We start from the raw sequence: 18,932 nt of genomic DNA, 5'->3' as shown, positions 1-18,932 counted from the left end.
GGGACTACAGGAATGTGCCACCATGCCCAGATAATTTTTGTATTTTTTAGTAGAGACAGGGTTTGGGTTTCATTATATGTTGGTCAGGATGGTCTTAAACTCCTGACCTCAGGTGATCCACCCACCTCAGTCTCCCAAAGTGCTGGTATTACAGGCATGAGCCACCGCGCCTGGCCTATTCCTGAGTATTTTATTCTTTTTAAAATTTTATGTTAAAGAGACAGGGTCTCGCTCTGTCACCCAGGCCAGAGTACAGTGATGTGATCATAGCTCACCATAGCCCTGAACTCCTAGGCTTAAGGGATGTTCCTGCCTCAGCTTCCCAAGTAGCTAGGGCGTCAGGAATGCACCACCATGCCTGGCTTATTCTTGAATATTTTATTCTTTTGGTTTGTTTCCATAGTTTTATTTTCACATAGAATGTATTATTGAAAGAAATTTTCTGTATTTCTTTTTACTTTTTAAAATGTGACTATTAGAAAATTTAAAATTATATAAGTGGTTCACACCACATTTCTAACGGGCAGCACTGCACTAGAATAAAAAGGCTGAGATTAGAGAAAACAAAGGAACATAAAATAATGGGATATATTCAAGGTACTCATGACATTATGCCCCTGGAGCTACATGTGTGAGCTAAACTTGGTCTAGAATTTTCCCTATTATAGAAATCACAAATGTTGAAGGGTTCTGACTGCACTCAGAGAAAACACACCTAGCCGCTTGTTCCTATTCTACGTGGAGAGGCTTTAATCAGATGTAACCTGCAGGGTCTTCTGTGATTTCTCTACCGTTTGGGCTTCCAAAGGTAGTAAAAGTGACATTGCTTGAGCCCAGGCATGAAAAAACAGAAAAAAAGTAAGAAGACAGCTCACGTGATGTTTCTCTCAAGTCTTTTCACATTATATCCAGGAAAAGGAGTTCTAGTGTATCGTCATAGGCACCAGTCTGAAGCTTACTTATCTCATTGCTCCTGCCCCACCCAGTTGGCTCCCCTCAAGAAATTCTTCCTGGATCCTCTGGAGTTGGTATAGATTCCCTTTTCTGTGTGTTCCCATGATTTTCTTTCTTTTTTTTTTTTTTTTTGAGACAGGATCTTGCTCTGTTGCTCAGGCTGGAGTGCAGTGGTGTGATCTTGGCTCACTGCAGCCTCTACCTCCTGGGCTTACATGATCCTCCTACCTCAGCCTCCCAGGTAGCTGGGACTACAGGCATGCACCATCATGCCTGGCTAATTTTTTATAGTGACAGGGTTTTGGCATGTTGCCCAGGCTGGTCTCGAACTCCTGGGCCCAAGCGATCCGCCTGCCTCGTTCTCCTAAAGTGCTGGGATTATAGGCGTGAGCCACTGTACTGAGCCTCCACGATGTTTTCTAGAACATTTCCTACACAGAACTGACACTGCTCATTTACTTTTTTTTCTTCCCTATACACTGTAAGCCCCTCAAGCAGAGACAACTCCTTGTTACCAATGAACCACCTAATGAAGTGATTGGAATAAGTACTGAATGCGGGAGTAAATAAATGAGTACTATGCTCCTTCTTTCTTTAGAAGAGAACAATTTTACAGCATATATATATATACACACACACACACATATATATATATATACACACACGTACACACATATACATATATGTGTGTATATATATTTTGGAAGTATACTTTGGTTCAGTGGAAAGAGTATTGTTTGTTGTCAGGAAACTGACCTGAGTTCCAGTTCAGATTTGCTGCTTACTATCTGTGTGACCTTGAATAAATCTCTTAATCATCTCTGGACTTGATCTCTCATCTGAAAGAAAAGAGGGTTGAACTACTGAGCTTCAAGCTTCTGTCCAGCCCTAATATTCTGTGAGACTTGGAAAACAAGGCAAGTCTAGGGGTCAGACGTAGGCTCCCTTTCAGACAGGCAACTCAACGGAGCAGCTGAGATGCTCAGCCTTTCTCAGGGGCTTCCACCGCCTCCCCCTCCTCCGTGTCTTAGCAAATATTAATAGTCAAGGGTCTCGCTGAATGTGGTTTTTAATAGAATCCAATTTCAGTCCATTTAGAGTGGGACTTTTCATGCTGACTTGGTAATTTGAACTATGCCACGCCTGATGGACTGAATGCATTTTCCCTGCCTCCACTGCCCGCCCTGGGCTGCTGTGGAGAGAGTGCTGGCATTGAGACCAGGGAGTGGGGCGTCTTAAAGCAGCTGCAGACCAGCTATTTGACCTCACAGCCAGTCTTGTCTTTCCTGCCCTGAGGCATGTGATGAGGATACCAAGGGCACTGGAAGGGGAGTGGGCAATGGCTGTTCTATTTCCCGGCAATTGCCGTCTCCTTGCAGCTCAGAGGCTGCTGGCCTCTGGGTGGACTGTTAGGAAGAAAACAGCGTTTATCGTTGGATGTGACTGGAAGACAGCTGATTCCGAGAACCATCAGAATTATTCCAACTGATTGCTGTGGAGTCTCTTTGAAGCCTGGAGAGGCATGGGTTGGAGTATGAAGCTTCCTCTGTCTTTCTACTCCCCACCTCCAAGTACTTGTCCTGCTTGAGCAGAGAGTAACCCAAGGGCCTCTTGGAAGGTTCCCTTCCTTCTACAGTGCAGAGAGGGGGAATGTGGAAGGTGAACGTGCAAGTATTAGCAGCCACACTATAAACAAGGAAACTGAGGCCAGGGAGGGTGGGGGAAGGAAATAAATGTTTTTTCTGTGCTTATTCTGTGCCAGCCACTGAGCTGGGAGATACTTATTTCTTAGTCCTCCCCACACCCTTTTAAGGGATAAAACATTTTCCCCCAGCCTGGCCAAATTGGTGAAAGCCTCTCTCTACTAAAAATACAAAAATTAGCTGGGCATGGTAGTGTGTGCCTGTAATCCCAGCTACTCGGGAGGCTGAGGCAGGAGAATTGCTTGAACCTGGGAGGCGGAGGTTGCGGTGAACGGAGACCGTGCCACCACACTCCACCCTGGGCGACAGAGCAAGACTCCATCTTGGAACACAAAACAAAACATTCTCCCCATGTATGGGCGAGGAAAATGAGGGTCAGAAAAGTTAAACAACTGCACCAGGGTCACACAGCTAGCAGATGTTAAAGCTGGTATTCAAACAAAACTCCGTCTATCCACTGTAAAATGTCACATGGTTTGAAATAGTGGAGCGGCGTGCTCTCAAGTTTGCTGGGCCTCAGCAGTGGCCCCTTAACCTGGCTGGTTACCTCATGGCATTCAAAAAACTATCCTGAACACTATTCCTGTGAATCTGATTCAATGGGTCTAAGGTAGAGCCTGAGATTATGTATTTTTAAAAAGCTCTTCCTAGTGATTCTGATATCTTGGAAAGCACAGGGCTGCAGCACGTGGCTTCTCTTCTGACCCAAGTCTCTTAGGAGATCTTCATTTCTCAGAAGCACAGATCTAGTTCAGCCCTGCATTTACCTCCAGTAACATTTGCCACTGAACCCATTATTCCTTCATTCCAGGCTGAATGCTCAACGTTTTCTGAGTACCTACAATGTGCCAGGCATGGTGCTCAACATTCTGGCTGCAAAGATGAATATACCACAGTGCCTGCCTTGAGGGACACCCAGGGCGTGCGGGAGATGAATGTAAACTAGAAACTCTAATTTGTTGTAGCAAAAGCTAGGCTGAGGTAGGCTTGTGTTGCTTTAAGAATTCAGACTAAAGGACCAAGGAAGGCTTTCTAGCAGTGATCCTGAATGAAGGCCTATAGGAGTTAGCAAGGTAGAGAGGACTGAAGGGCTAAGGAATAGCCGATGAGGCAGAGGGAAGGAATAGCGTGGAAAGGCCCAGAGACCCAGCACAATGGCTCAGGGCGGCAAAAGAAGCTGCACAGCAGTGGAATGTAGGATACTTTGGGAAGAGGACCAGGAAGTGAGGCTGGAAAGATCAGTGGAGACAAAATATGAAAGACCGTGTGTGTTGTTAAGGAGTTTGGACTTTATCCTAGAAGTGACGAGGCGCTACTAAAGATTTTATTTTTCCTGAGACAGAGTCTCACTCTGTTGCCCAGGCTGGAGTGGAGTGGCGTGATCTCGGCTCACTGCAACCTCTGATGCCCAGGTTCAAGTGATTCTCCTGCCTCAGCCTCCTGAGTAGCTGGGATTACAGGTGCCTGCCACCGCACCCAGCTGATTTTTTTGTGGGTGTGTATTTTAGAAGAGATGGGGTTTCACCATCTTGGCCAGGCTGGTCTTGAACTCCTGACCTTGTGATCCACCCACCTTGGCCTCCCAAAGTGCTGAAGTTGTGGAGTGACATGGTCAAACTGTGTTTTGGAAGGGTCACTCTGATAGAAATAAGAGAATGAACTGTAGGCAGGAGAAGCTGGCAACAGAGGAACGAATTAATTGCAGAATTAAGAATTTATGTATGTCAAAAAGCACCATAAACAAAATTTGAAAGCAAAGCACTTGGAAAGCATATTTGCAGCATTTCTTGACAAAAATAATATTCTTAATAAAATTACAAATTGATAATAAACATACCAATATCAAATAAATAGAAAATTCACAAAGAAAGAAGTACAAATGGTCAATAAGCATATGAAAATGTTATTCGCGAAGAATCAAAGAAAGTTAAAATAACATTGACATACTATTATCCCAGCTACCAAATTGGGAAAGATTTGATAAGTGATGATACCTAGTGTTAGGGTGCAGGAAACAGGGTACTCTCTAGGATCCAAATAGGAGAGCGTTTTGGTACAAACTTTCTGGAGGGTGGTTGGCAACATGTATCAAAATTCTTAAAAATAGCCAAGCAAGTCTCTTCTTGGAGTTTATCCTAAGGAAATCGTTATAGACATGTGCAAAATTTAGCTACAAGAATGTCAGTTGCAACACTATTTACAATGAAGATTGGGAACAAATGAAATAATCACTATTTGAGGATTGATGATAAAAAAAGGGTCCATCCATACAATGAAGATGCTGTTGAGAAAGTTTGATATGCCGAAAATGTTCGTGATATTATTAAGTGAAGGAACAGAAGGAGCAAAAAACAAAAAGTGTCCAATATGCTGCCATTTGTGTGTGATAAAAGAATATATACATATGTTTGACAATGTGTAAGCATCTCCACTAGGATGCAAAATAAATTAGAGGGAAACTAGATGCTGGCAGACGGGGTAGGGAGAAGATTTACTTCTGACTACAGAGCAGTTTGTACTTTTTGAATTTTGTATCTGTGTAGGATTACATATTCTAAAATATAAATACACACTTGAAAAGTTATTAAAGAGTATATTCAGTGTATCCAGTTTTTGTTTAAAAAAATCCACAACTGTGTGTGCGTGTGTACATTTACACCAAAAAGAACTAAAAGGTATATTCAAAAGAATACACGTTTGTCTTGGGTGGTAAGCTTATGGATTGGATTTTGTCCTTTTTTTCCTAAAACTTCTACAATACACACATGATGCTTTCACAATAATTAAAAAGCGTTAGTTTTTCCCCCAAAGAGTCCATCGCAAAAGTCCAGGCAGGGGATGACAGTGCAGGTCAGATGCCTGATTAGTACTCCAGCTACATAGGTCAGCAGTGACATCCGCAACGTACGGAATTAAATCACAGTTCTTGTTTTGGGGAGGGATGAGGAGAAGGAAGCTGAAGATTTGGTAGGGAGAATGAACCTGGTTTTGTGCTCTAAAGCCTTTGTTGGACAAATGCACAGAAAATTCAGCCCTATCACCCCAAACATCAACCAATACCCCAGGTAGCTTTTTCTCTTTGGGATTATTTAACTTCAGGTCACAGTGAATGGAGTTCCAGTAAGCCTGTATATCTAAGTCACCAAACAAGCAGATGACCTGGACGCTTGTTCTATGAGGTTCTGAGAGGCTGTCTTCATTTCGTTCTGGTTTTTGATCTTTCTACATGGGATGGCTACAATCATATCCTGGATTGTCCAGCCCTGCCCCAGCACACTCATGTAAACAAGACCTCTCTCCTGTCTCTGCATAGGGAATAATTACTCGGAGTCCTTCCTGACGCACAAAGACCAAGGGAAGACCCTGGCAGTTTGAACTCATTCTCCAGGTGACCTCTACCCTTCTCTTCATCCTTCAGATCCTAACAAACCATCTGCCAAATCACAAACGTTCTAAGTTGGAGGCTTGGGAATGGGGGTGGGGGTGGGGGTCGGGGCGTTTGAACACATTCCCGTGTGGGGCCATAGGGTAGTTTTGGGTTAGGGTCATGTAAAGCCAGCTAGGAGGAAGAGGAAAGACAGCATAATATAGTAGGGATTGGGGAGAATGTGGCAGCTGAAATAGCTTCTTCCTTTTCCTCTTCTCCAGAGAGTGAGCTCTAGGTGAGTAATGGCAGGCCCCTCAATATTTCTAGCACCTTCCTGTAGCCCCCGTTGAAAGCCTTTGGGGAACTATGTGAATATAACTTACGCTGCTCTCTTCTGGGCCCCTCGGCTGTGATTGGATCCTGCCGTGGTGGGGCATCTGCTTACATAATTAACCCATATTTAACTTTGTGTTTCCTTTCGGTCTTAATTGTGACCCTTTCCCAATGCTGGGGATGGGTGATGAATGCTAGGTGAGTTGTTGAGATACATGCTGGCTCCATCAGTAAGTAGAATGAGCAATACACAGACATAACTATTGGACCTCAGCTGCCTTTTTCTGACCTGTCACTGCTCTGACTACTAGGGATTCTGGCCTCTGGTCTTTTGGGGCCCTTGAGTAAATACATAAGGAGGCCATGTACTATCACTGACATCATGAACACTTTTCAGGTTAATACATATTGTCCTGTTCTCAAATGGTTATAATTGCCCAATATTATACTTACAGAGAGGCAACTAAGTATAGCATAGATACTAGCCAGAGCTCTGGAGTCAGGCAGGCCTGGTTCAAATCCTAGCTATGCCACTAAAGGCCATGCAACCTTGGGATAATTAATTTTTCTGGTTTTCAATATTCTTACCCATCAAATGGGAACAGTATCCCAGAGTAACTGCATGAAAGAAATGAGATTATACATGTAAAGATCTGAAGATAATGCATTTAATAAATCCTAACTATTCACATTATTGCATCTGTATATATTTTAATTTTGTACAACATTGTCTTTTTCACTAGTCACACGAAAAATACATGAAAGTGCTCTGATAATTTTAAAGCATCATATAAATTAACGGTGTCATTGGTAATAATCTCATATGCATTTCTTAACCCTTCCATTTCCTTGAAGACTGAGACGACATCCCATGTCCCACAGCATATTGCACAATGATGGGCAAACAATATGCCCTCAGTAAGTGTTTCTTGTTTGACTGAAGCAACATGGCATAGCATAACGAGCACAGACATCAGGAGACTAGGCTGGGATGAAATTAGTTTAAGGCAGGAGAGCCAGTCTGCAGTCATAATTTATTCATTCAACAAGCATTTGTTGAACACATTCTATGTGCTAGATGTTGAGTTCAGATAATTTCATCAAAAGAAGATTGTACAAGTTCTGACAAAGCCAAGCCCCTGGGCAGTCTCCACAATCCCAGCCCACTCTTAAAAGCACAAAGGCTGTAGCCACCATTGTCTGCCACTGGACAAACGGCCAATTGCTTTGGGGAAAGCCCCATCCTGCCTGGCTGTAAGTAGCTCTGATTGAGGGTTGGAGGAAGGAGTAAAAGTGAGGGAGTGGGCTGCTTCCAACAGAACTGACAGGAACTACTACCTGTTAATTTGTTTTTATTTACACTGAATCAGTCCACAGTTCAATCCCCTAGCCTATACGATGCTCTTTCCCCTGGCCATCATCTTTCCCTCCCTGTCACCTACACAGTCAACCTGTCCCAAACCTTGGCCCACTTCATCCTGCCCTTCTGCGGTCACAGCTGCCTGCTGGGTGGGAGTCCGGGGGAATGGTATGTGTGGTCACCAGAGGGCACTGAGTGGGCTTCAGTGGCATGTGAATCCTGGCAGAGTCTCGGATCCCCGATGGGGAGAGGAGAAAGCACAAGCCAAGACAACGAGTGGGGGAAGGAGGCAGGGGCTAAGTGACGGGTGGGGGGTGGGGGTGGGAACTCCAGTGTACACATTGACAGTCTCTATGTTGGCTTCACCAGCGCTTCTCTGTTTGTCTCGTCCCTGGATTTCTAACAGTTGCCTCGAGATGCTCTGGTTCTGGTCTGTCAGGAAAGTGTGGAAGGATCCAGCCCATGGGCTGTGTGCCTGCTGCCTGTGGGATGGTACACTTGCCAGGCTCCGCCTCTGTCAGAAGCACTGGCCAAAGTCAAAGCCACAACAGCATCCCAGCCCATGAGACTCCTCTCCAGCTGTCCCAGCAGAAGTCAGGCCCCTCTCAGTCGCTGACCTGCTAGAGGAGAGGATGTCTCCATTGTCTGGGCGACCTACCAGATTCCAAATTTGCATCTCTCCTTTTCGTACTGGGAGGAGACAAAGAGCTGGGGTGCAACAGGAGGAAAAATGAGGAGCCAGAAGAAGTGGGGAGAAAGGGACAGAATCCAGGACGGGGCTCTCTGCCAGGGGATGCCTGGAAGTCCCCGGTCAGGCGTGGGCGCAGCTCTGGAGCTGCTTCCTGGTTACATGGCTTCTTTTTCTCTCTGGGAGCATCGGCTGAGTTTCATCTCCGTCAGCTGGATATACCGAATCACGTTGGTGTCTGTGAGGAGAGAAATAAACCTTAGGGAACACCAGGTGAGGGCAACTATCACATTTACAAGGAATTAGCAAAGGCTGTGTCTGCAGACATCCAACAGGCCAGGCTCACTCAACCAAGGTCCCTTCTGCCTATCCATGGTGGCTGAGAGGGCAACTAGATGTCGACCCTCTCCTTCACTGTCTCCCCTTAGCAAATGTGGACAGGTTGGCATGACCCAGGGGATGTGAGAGAGAATGGGTGGGAGAGGAGAGAGAATTTCTCTCCCTCTTTCTATGCAGCAGCGTATCCCAGTGGTTTCCCAGCCGGCGCAGTTAGTTTAGTGAGACCCCAGTTGGAGTTTAACATCAGGCAAGTTGCCAACTTCTCTGAGCCTCCTGTACCATCTGCAAGAAACAACCTCTATTTTTTTTTGTTTGTTTGTTTTTTGAGATGGAGCCTTGTCCTGTTCGCCCAGGCTGGAGTGTAGTGGTGCAATCTTGGTTTGCTGCAAACTCCACCTCTCAAGTTCAAGCAATTCTCCTGCCTCAGTAGCTGGGATTACAGACACATCCCACTGCGCCCAGCTAATTCTTGTATTTTTAGTAGAGACGGGGTTTCATCATATTGGCCAGGCTCGTTTCAAACTCCTGACTTTAGGTGATCTGCCCACCTTGGCCTCCCAAAGTGCTGGGATCAGAGGCGTGAGTGAGCCACCGCGCCCAGCCAACAAGCTCCATTTTTGAATGCCAACCTTGTGCCAGGTTTCTAACCTTCATGATCTCATTTAATCCTCAATACAATCCCGCAAGGTATGTATCCTTCTCCTCACTGTGACAAAATGGAATAGGGACCTAGCGAGATTGAGTCAGATGCCAAGGAGACACATAGTAAATGGTGTGTCTGGCTGCAAAGCCTGTCTCTCCTGAGGACTGTAATACCTGCCTCATGAAATTGCTCTGAAGCCCAAAATAGGTAAGTCTAAAAGTGCTTAAAACAATGATCAACAAATATTAGTCTAATGTAATTTTTTTAAGCTTGAAGAGTTTAAAATGACTTTGCTTTATTGTCTTATTTTTGTCGTTATAAGCAGGGTCAGATGACCACCTCACCAAAACTGGGGCATTTCTTCCCAGTTCCTGTTATTAGTGAGGATGGCATGGCAGGGAACAACTGCTAAGTTCCACACACACCATAACATAAGAGTGACAGGGCTGCCTGGAATAGTTACTTCTGGAAGTAGAAATGAATACTATATCATGCTAAAAAATGCCAGGCGTATCCTCCAGAACCGTGCTGGCAGATAGCAGTGCTCCAGAAAATTCTATTGAATGAGTCCAATGGTTAGTCTTCAAGCTGCTTACAGTTGGTGGAACACGATTTATGTACGGAAAATAAATCAACAACAAGGTGTTCTTTAAAAAGATAAAAAAAGTATACATTTGGACATTTGTGACTTGATTCTAAAGTTTTTTAAAGACTTTTGAAAGGAAGATTGAGTTTAAAAAAAAAAAAAAAAGGCTGGGTGTGGTGGCTCATGCCTGTAATCCCAGCACTTTAGGAGGCCGAGGCAGAAGGATTGCTTGAGCCCAGGAGTTCAAGACCAGCCCTGGCAACATAGCAAGACTTCATCTATACAAAAAATAAAAAACATTAGCCAGGCATGGTAGTGCATGCCTGTAGTCCAAGCTACTGGGGACGCTGAGGTGGGAGGATCATTTGAGCCCAAGAGGCGGAAGTCGTAGTGAGCTGAGATCACACCACTGCACTCCAGCCTGGGCGACAGAGCGAGACTCTGTCTGAAAAAAGAAAAATTATTAACCATATAAACAACAAAAATAGCAACATCAAGTCAAAGTTGTTTAAATGTTACTTCCTCAGAGAGGCTCTTTCTGATCACTTGGTCTAAAATAGCTCCCCCCTCTTTACTCTTTTTTATTTTTTTTGAGACAGTCTCGCTCTGTCACCCAGGCTGGAGTGCAGTGGCGCAATCTTGGCTCACTGCAACCTCCGCCTCCTGGGTTCAAGTGATTCTTCTGCCTCAGCCTCCTGAGTAGCTGGGACTACAAGTGCGTGCCACCATGCCCAGATAATTTTTTGTATTTTTAGTAGAGACGGGGTTTCACCATGTTAGCCAGGATGGTCTTGATCTCTTGACCTCCTGATCCACCCACCTCGGCCTCCCAAAGTGCTGGGATTACAGGCATGAGCCACCGCGCCCAGCCTTACTCCTTTTTTTTTTTTTTTTTTAGACAAGGTCTTGTTCTGTCGCTCAGGCTGGAGTGCAGTGGTGCCATCTTGGCTCACTGTAGCCTCCGCCTTCCAGGTTCAGGTGATCCTTCTGCCTCAGCCTCCCAAGTAGTTGGGATTACAGGTGTCCACCACCACACCCAGCTAATTTTTGTATTTTTAGTAGAGATGGGGTTTCACCATGTTGCTCAGACTGGTCTTGAACTTCTGAGCTCAAGCGATCCACCTGCCTTGGGTTCCCAAAGTGCTGGAATTACAGGCATGAGCCACCACGCCCAGCGCCCCCATTTACTCTTGATCTCTTTATTCTGCTTTATTTTCTTCACAGCGTTTATTACTACTAAGTATTTCATTTGTTTACTATTTGTTTGCTTGTTTACTGGTTGACTTCTAGCCATCCCTTGGTAGAGAGCCCCTCCCTGGGTTCTGTCCCCTCTCCACACTTTTTTTTCCCACTTACAATAGACAGTGAGCCATTATAATATAAGCTCTTTGAAGGCAACAACTTTCTTTTGTTCACTACTATATACCTAGCAATATTGTACCCCCTCAATAAATATCTGTGGAATGAATGAATGAATGACTGGTGGATATGATCTAAGTGAATGCTATAGATAACACATGTCCTAAGGAATAGCATCTGACTGGAGAAGTCAGAGCATGCTTCCTGAAAGGTGCTGGGCTTAGCATCAAATTTGCCTGTTTGTATTCTGTGTCATCAACCAGATGTGAGCGCCTCATGGGTAGCGGCAGTGTCTTTTCATTGATTCCCTTGGTGCTTAGCACAAATCTTGGCACATAGTATGAATTCAATATATATATATTTGTTGAATAAGTGAAGAGAGCTGGATTCTGAGTTGAAAAAGATGAGGAATTCTATACTCTATTTGAAGAGAAGAGGGGCCTGTGCTCCCTGGAACTCAAACCCTAGGCAAATGCATGGGCTGTGTGCTCCTCTTAGGTCTTATCATATATATCTGATCCCTAATTTTGCCATCTCTGTCCCTGCCTGGCCCTCCTAGCCAAGAAAACTGCTGAAATGAGAAGGTCCCAGGAGCCACCAGAGCAGGGAGGAAGTAAGAAAACAGCTATTTCCGCCTTACCTGTTGGTTGTTGGGTCCTTGCTTCTTTCAGGTAGTAGAGTGCTTTGTCATAGTCCCCAAGGTGGTAGAAGGCCACACCAGACCGGTAAAGGGCCTTGAAGTTCTCCCCTTCCTTCTTCAAGACTTTGAGGCAATATTCCTTGACTCGTTCATAGTTTACCAGCTCAGCCTGGAGCAGGCAGGCTATGGAGGAAGGGAGGGAAAATGCCATCAGCACAACAGTGGCCAGCTCTGCATGTTTCCCTTGAGTTGCTTCTCTCCAGAGGTTTAGCAGGGTTGGGGTTTTCCACTGGGGTTTACATCTTGGGATTTGTCTTCCAATAATCCTAGCCTCCCTGACCAGTTTCATCACTAAAAAGCCATGTTAACAAGGCTTGAGCAAGTCACTTAACCTTGTATTATGGGTTGAATTATGCCCACCCTTCCACCACCAAAAGATATGTTGAAGTCCTAACCTGCAGTACACAAGAATGTGACCTTATTTGGAGACAGGATCTTTACAGAGGTGATCAAGTTGAGGTCATTACAGTAGGGCCTAATCCAGTGTGACTGGTATCCTTATAAAAAGGGGAAATATGTACACAAAGACAGACACACACAGAGGAAAGACGACATGATAAAACATGGGGAGAAGAGAGCCATCCATAAGCCAAGGAATGCCTGAGGCTACCAGAACCTCACAGAGAGGCATGGAACAGATTCTTCCTCACATCTTTCAGAATAACAACCCACCAGCACCTGGATCTTGGACTCCTAGCCCCTGGAACTGTGAGATCATACATTTCTATTATCTCAAGTCACCCAGTTTGTGGGACTTTGTTGTAGGCAGCCTTAGGAATAAGCTACCAGAGGCAATCATCATCTCTTCATCATCATCTTCATCATCATCATCACCATCATGGCCAATATTTGTTGAGTGCTTACCTTGTACAGATGCTGGTCTCATTGTTTTACATGTATTACTGATATAATCCTCAGAATACTCCAATGTGGGTACTATTACTGTTTCAATTTTATAGGTGAGGAAGCTGAGGCCCAGAGAGCTGAAGAAATTTCCCAAGTCCACACAACGTGAAAGAGACAAAGATGGGATTTAAGCTGAAGCTGTCTGGCTCCAGAATCCAAGTCCTTCCTAATCTAGTTGTTGGAGGGATTATATAAAATAATGGCCATAAAGTACTTAATGTGGGCTTGGCACATAGCAAGCATGAAAAAAATGTTAGTTAACATTCTTAGAATTCTTTTTAGTCTTGTACCAGTAACATCTGCCTCTGACTTCCCTCAAGTTCCCTTTCATGTATATTTGTCTCTGCAGTTCCTGAGAGAGGGGGCTTTCTGGTAGGCTAGTGACCAGCTCATACAAGCCACATGTCTGGACATGAGAGACCTAGGTGTCCCAGGCAAGAGGAAGCTATGGCAGGCAGGTCTCATGGTGGAGAGCTTCCCCATCCCACAAACAGCCATCTTTGAGTAAACCATGTCCCTTTGAGCTTTCCCTTACCAGCCCTGAGCCACAGGGAGCCACAGGGCTGGGACTAGAGTGATGACACGCCTGGAGGATGACTAAATGGCCTTGAAGAATGATTGAAATTTCGTGCCCTAGGCACCTCCCTCTAATCCCAACCCTGCTGAGCCACCTCGCCTCCATTTAACCACTCAAATATCTAGTAGGCATTGACCAACGGCAAAGTATGTTGCATACTTCGGAGGGAGTACAAAAAAAGAGACAGGAAAAAGGCACCTGTCTGCTTCTTCAAAGCAAATAAAAACAGAGACTTAGGAGGCAAAACTGGTGCTTCTGTTCACAACCCGGCTGGGTGGCTGGGGGAGAATGCTGATGCTCTGTTCCTTCTTTGTGCCCAGACTTTTCCACACTGACAGAAGACACCTCAGGATAGAGACAAGTCACTGATTTCAATCTTCAGGGGTCTAACGTCAGTCATTCTGACCCCTTAAATAACTTCCCAGGTATCAGAATTGCTGAGATTTTTTAAGAGACCAGATTTTTTTTGAGCATTTAGGACCAAAAAACTCCATTCTTTCACAGAATGAGGAGAAATACACAGACTGTCAAGATGAAGGTATGAGAACCAGGAAGTGAAAGAGAATCAGCCCAGATCTAGAAACTGACCTGTCAGGTTTCACTGGCTGCAGGGCAGAAAGCCAAGTCAACAGAAGCAACAGGCTGCTAACCCCCGAGGGCAGCTCTTGTTCACCCAGGACTACAATCTTCTGGTGCACCAGGGGGTCCTTCTGATAAGCTGATGCTACAAGCCCCCCTCCCCTCTCCTCCCTCTCTCTCCATGGTGGGATCTTAGGCCCTTCTGTCCCCTTCCTCACCTGCATGTTGTCGGAGCCTGTGCTGGTGCTTATACAGCTGTACAGAGAGAGAGAGGGGTTTCTGTAAAAAGGTTCCTGGATGTGAACCTCACTGACTGCTACCTGTGTGTGACTTGGCTCCAGCACCTGCTCCCAGAGCTAAAAGCTGTCCTGTCCACAGCTTCCACGCTCCCTGCCTGAAGTCCTCTCTGACCGGGCCTAGCAGCCCTCTTCCCGTCCAGCCCTCCCTCTTTGAACAGACACTTCTGTTTGCTGACCCTGGCAGTCTAGGAAAAGGACCATTTAACAAATAAAAATAAAAATAAAATAAAATAACAGTTTTTGAATGCATAAAATGGTGGTGACAGGGGCAGGGGAAGCAAAGAGGCCTGGAAATGGGGAAGCCTCCCCCTTCCCACAAAGGGTTAAAGGAACCACAGCAATCAATTTCTGGCACTTATTTGGTAAAAATATTTCTAGTTCCCCTGCAGATCCGGTGGGAACTGGCATACCTGGCTGTGGACCAGGGTTCAGACTTTGGGGGAGGCAAGGGAGGCAGGGCTAGGCTGGTTATAGGGTGTGGAGCCTCAGCTGACACCACAGACAGGGCCCAGAAAGATGGAGAAATAGCTGGGCCAAGAGGTAGAATCTGGATAAGAAGTTGGGGTGCTAGGCCAGGACTCTTTTTTTTTTTTTTTTTAAATGGAGTCACGCTCTATTGCCTAGGCTGGAGTGCAGTGGTGCGATCTCGGCTCACTGCAACCTCTGCCTCCTGGGTTCAAGCAATTCTCCCGTCTCAGCCTCCCAAGTAGCTGGGACTACTACAGATGCCCGCCACCATGCCTAGCTAATTTTTGTAGTTTTAATAGAGACGGGGTTTCACCATATTGGTCAGGCTGGTCTCGAACTCCTGACCTCTGGTGATCTGCCTGCCTCAGCCTCCCAAAGTGCTGGGATTACAGGAGTGAGCCACTACACCCGGCCCAGGCCAGGACTCTTAAGGGAATCCAGGGGTGGAGGGGGTGACAGCCAGGCTGGAGGCTGGCCTCAGCGCTACCTGCAGGTGATTTTTAGGCACCTCTCTGCTTTGGGTGGGTGGCTACTGGTACATCTAGTAAGCCCATGGGATAGGTAAGATGGGATGACAGCAGGCACGTGTGAGGGCTGAGGAAGTTAAGACGACGTGGACTGGCTGCCTCCTGATTGCTCCTTCCCCATCCCTGTAGCCATTAGCCAGGACCTGGGGTTGCAGTGGACCTCAGGATAAGTGGCATCGCCCCACAGTGTGTCCTCCTCATGGTTATTAATCCCTTCTCTGGTGTCAGAGGTGCTAAATACTTCACATACACTATGTCTTTTAATCCTCACATCAACTCCATGAAACAGGTTCTATTTTTATCCTTCTTTTATAGATGATGAAACTGAGTTCCAGAGAAATGAAGTAACTTGCTGAAGGTCACCCAGCTGGAAGGGGGTAGAATTAGGATATCAGCCCACTTCTGTCAGGCTTCCAAGACTGTGCACTTGACCTCTGGGGTGTCTGTGGGGATGCATTTGAAGCCATCGGAAACCCACACAGCCCCTGGGGAGAAAGAGAGGTCATCTGTGGAAACTCCCTTCTGCTGTGTTCCAAAGCTAACAAGCAAAAATTGATGCCTAACTGCTGGGCACTGGGCGGGGCAGTGGGATCAGCTGATGAGCTGACACCCGCCCCCCCACCCACCTGGGGCTAACAGATGGGCAGGGAGGGCAGAGGTCATGTTATCTCAAATATTCACATGTGGGCTAACTGCTATGAAGGACAAAGGTAGAGAAGGAGCATACCCAGGCAGGAGGGGCCTTACCTTGATCTAAAGTATAATGGGAGGCCTTCTTGGAAGAAGTAGCATTATAGCTGGGATCTAAAGATTGGGTATTTCTCAGCCTCAGCACTATTGACATTTTGGACTAGATGATTTTTTGTTACATGAGGATGTCTTGAGCCTTGCAGGATGCTTAGCAGCTCCCCTAGCCTCTTCTCACTACATGCCACTTGTGACAACCAAAAAATGTCTCTGGAAATGGCCAAGTATTCCCTGGGTGGTGGGGTGGTGGTAAAATCACCCATGTTTGGGAATCACTGATCTGGGTGAAACTGTGACTTTTCAAGGCAGAGCCAAGAAAGAGAGGGAGCGAGAGGGGAATGGCCTATTTCAGAAAGTTTGGGAAGCCATGCATGCCAGGTTGGAGCAGAGAACCAGAGGGAAGGGTAAAAAAGGTGAAGCTGGAAAAGAAAGAAACCATGACACAGAGACCCTTCTGGTCCACGTAGAAGATCTGGGACTTCATTGTGAGGCAAGAGTGGATTTGGATGATGAAGTGATGGTGACTCAGGTGACCAGAGTGGAGGCGGATAAGCAGGAAAAACAGATCAATGTAAGTGGCATCCAGGAGGCAGAGGTGACCAGCAGCAGGGAATTTCTGCAATATTTTCTCTCTGCTGTCCACATTTGCAAGGTAGAGCCGTTCATCTGGGAGATCTTTATTGTCATTTTGGATTTCCTGATTGTCGAGAAGTGTTTCTCCATGTTGTGGTGACCTGGTCTCTGTTTGAATTAAGGATTATCATGTCACAGTCTCTATACTCTGCCATTTGGCATGCATCGGTATTTTAAAGAGCACTGAACTAGGAATCATAAGAGCTGGATTCTAGTCCCATCTTTGCCACTAGCCAACATTATGAAAATTACTTTCCCTTTCTGGGCATCTGCAAAATGAGAGATCTAAATTTCACTAAATGATCTCTACCGTCCTTTCAGATCTAACAGCCTCTAAATACAAATGTTTGCCACTTAATAGAAGGACAAAATTGTTTCACTGGCTCCTCTTCAAAAGGATTTCCTTTCTCCCTATTAATCAAGGTCAGGTATCTTTTGTTGGGGAGGACAATCAGACTGGTAAAGCAGTGATCAAGAGGGCTTCTGTAAGACAACAATTAGATTCCTGCTGTGTGGATTTTTTTTTTTTTTTTTTTTGGCATAGAGATTGGATTATGTTCTGATGTGGGTCTTCCCAAGTCATGGCACTGGGGTGAGACCTTCCCTGAAGGGAGTAAACATCTCCACCATTAGTCATCATGAGCAGAGGAGGCTGTTGAGTTGGAAAGGTAGGTTTTGGACTGACTGGCAAGGGAGCCTGGCCTGGACTCTGTGGATATACTTGGATTCAAAGATGTAGTCACTTGGCAGCAGAAGAGGTACAGGGTGGAAGATGCATGGCAAAGGGCCTGAGCTCTCAGACAACCATATCTAGAGGCTCCATTGAAAGAAATATTATTAACTTTCTGGCCTTTGGGTCTTCTGAAAAGGCTGAATAAATGCAGTGGCCTGGAATCAGCCAAATTGTGGAGAATGAAGACAAGCCTCTATCAAGGCGTGGGAAGAAGTGCTAGAGGAGAAACAGCCTTCCTTGAGCCAAACAGGGTGATAGCAGAGGTGGCCAGTGAACTTACAAGAGAAAGGCAAATCTGGGGGACAAGAATTGAAGCTGCAAATCTCCAACCACCCCTCCCAAGTACAGATTCCTCCACTGCCAGCCTTAGGCGGTTAGGGTGTGATCTTACGAAAAGAATTGGCAGGCCTTCTGAGGCCCACAGAGGGGTCGTGTTTAGCAAATAGAGAATCAGCTACTCAAAGAGCCCCCGCGACACTCATGCACACAGACGGAAAATCCTAAGTGTGATGTTCCCCCCAGCAACCACGCTGAGACCTCAGGCTAAAGCATGTTGAGTTCTCCTCACTCTGGCACCTGTTTTGTTTTTGTGTTTCCTGGTGCATGCAGGGCAAAACGCCACCCACTGGCATGAGATAAAGGGAAACCAGATGAAAGGAAGAACAAGTTCATGCAATCACTGGTTTTCTTCTTATAGCTAACTCACTATAGTTTGCTTTTACCTGCTGAACAGAAGGGAAACATGGGCTAAATGGAAGGAAGACCAGACCCATCTGGGGCCAGCAGCGAGAAGGAAGAACCTACTCTACAAGGCTGCCTCACTGTTTGGGGTTGCACCGTATCCATTTGTACAGGATACGTTACAGTCCTCACCCTCAGTACCTAAGAATGTCACTTTATTTGGAGACAGGGTCTTTGCAGAGATGATCAAGTTAAAATGAAATAGTTAGAATGGGCCCTAATCCAATTTGACTAGTGTCCTTATAAAAAGGAGAAATTTGGACACAGAGACAGATACAGAGTGGAAAGATGATGCAATAAGATCTAGGAAGACGGCTATCTACAAAGCCAGTGAGTGCCTGGGGCTACCAGAAGTTAGGAGAGAGGCTTGGAACAGATTCTTCCTCACAGCCCTCAGAGGGAACCAACCCTGCCGACACCTTGATGTTTCACTTCTAGCCTCTAGAATGACAAGACAATGAATTTCTGTTATTTTAAGTCACCCAGTGTGTGATATTACAGCAGCCTTAGGAAACTAATATACCTTGCTAGTCACTGCTTTGTGAGATGGGCCCAGGAAATGGCCATTGGGTTCCTAGGGGAAAATTTTCCCAAAAGTTTGCCAAATTATTTGATTTGCTTTCAAATTTATTTCAAGAAGCAATGACATAGTAGTAAAGTGGAAGAAGTTTGGGATCTGGACAGAGCTGA

General features: G+C 45.6%; 1 protein-coding gene across 1 annotated transcript in view, besides 3 other annotated features; it reads right to left on the bottom strand.

Moving 5' to 3' along the window:
- TTC9 (tetratricopeptide repeat domain 9) overlaps window positions 4,353–18,932 on the bottom strand; it is a 33,451-nt gene continuing 18,871 nt past the window's right edge. The window contains exons 2-3 of the mRNA NM_015351.2: window positions 11,973–12,155; window positions 4,353–8,643 (exon numbers count right to left, since the gene is read on the bottom strand). Coding sequence (NP_056166.1) covers window positions 8,564–8,643; window positions 11,973–12,155 — 263 coding nt within the window. The 3' untranslated portion in view covers window positions 4,353–8,563. The remainder of the gene's footprint in view (window positions 8,644–11,972; window positions 12,156–18,932) is intronic.
- Window positions 12,335–12,835: an enhancer, noted in NCBI's record as "H3K27ac hESC enhancer chr14:71133601-71134101 (GRCh37/hg19 assembly coordinates)". NCBI's record gives its function as "activates a minimal SCP1, AML or CMV promoter by ChIP-STARR-seq in naive H9 embryonic stem cells {active_cell/tissue: H9 hESC(naive)}" and the evidence as "EXISTENCE:reporter gene assay evidence [ECO:0000049][PMID:30033119]".
- Window positions 12,836–13,336: an enhancer, noted in NCBI's record as "H3K27ac hESC enhancer chr14:71133100-71133600 (GRCh37/hg19 assembly coordinates)". NCBI's record gives its function as "activates a minimal SCP1, AML or CMV promoter by ChIP-STARR-seq in naive and primed H9 embryonic stem cells {active_cell/tissue: H9 hESC(naive and primed)}" and the evidence as "EXISTENCE:reporter gene assay evidence [ECO:0000049][PMID:30033119]".
- Window positions 13,834–13,993: an enhancer, noted in NCBI's record as "active region_8659". NCBI's record gives its function as "activates an Ori minimal core promoter by ATAC-STARR-seq in GM12878 lymphoblastoid cells {active_cell/tissue: GM12878}" and the evidence as "EXISTENCE:reporter gene assay evidence [ECO:0000049][PMID:35858748]".

The sequence above is a fragment of the Homo sapiens genome, chromosome 14 (genome assembly GCF_000001405.40).
Source record: "Homo sapiens chromosome 14, GRCh38.p14 Primary Assembly".
NCBI lineage: Eukaryota > Metazoa > Chordata > Mammalia > Primates > Hominidae > Homo > Homo sapiens.
This window is presented reverse-complemented; position numbering and strand designations above follow the sequence as displayed.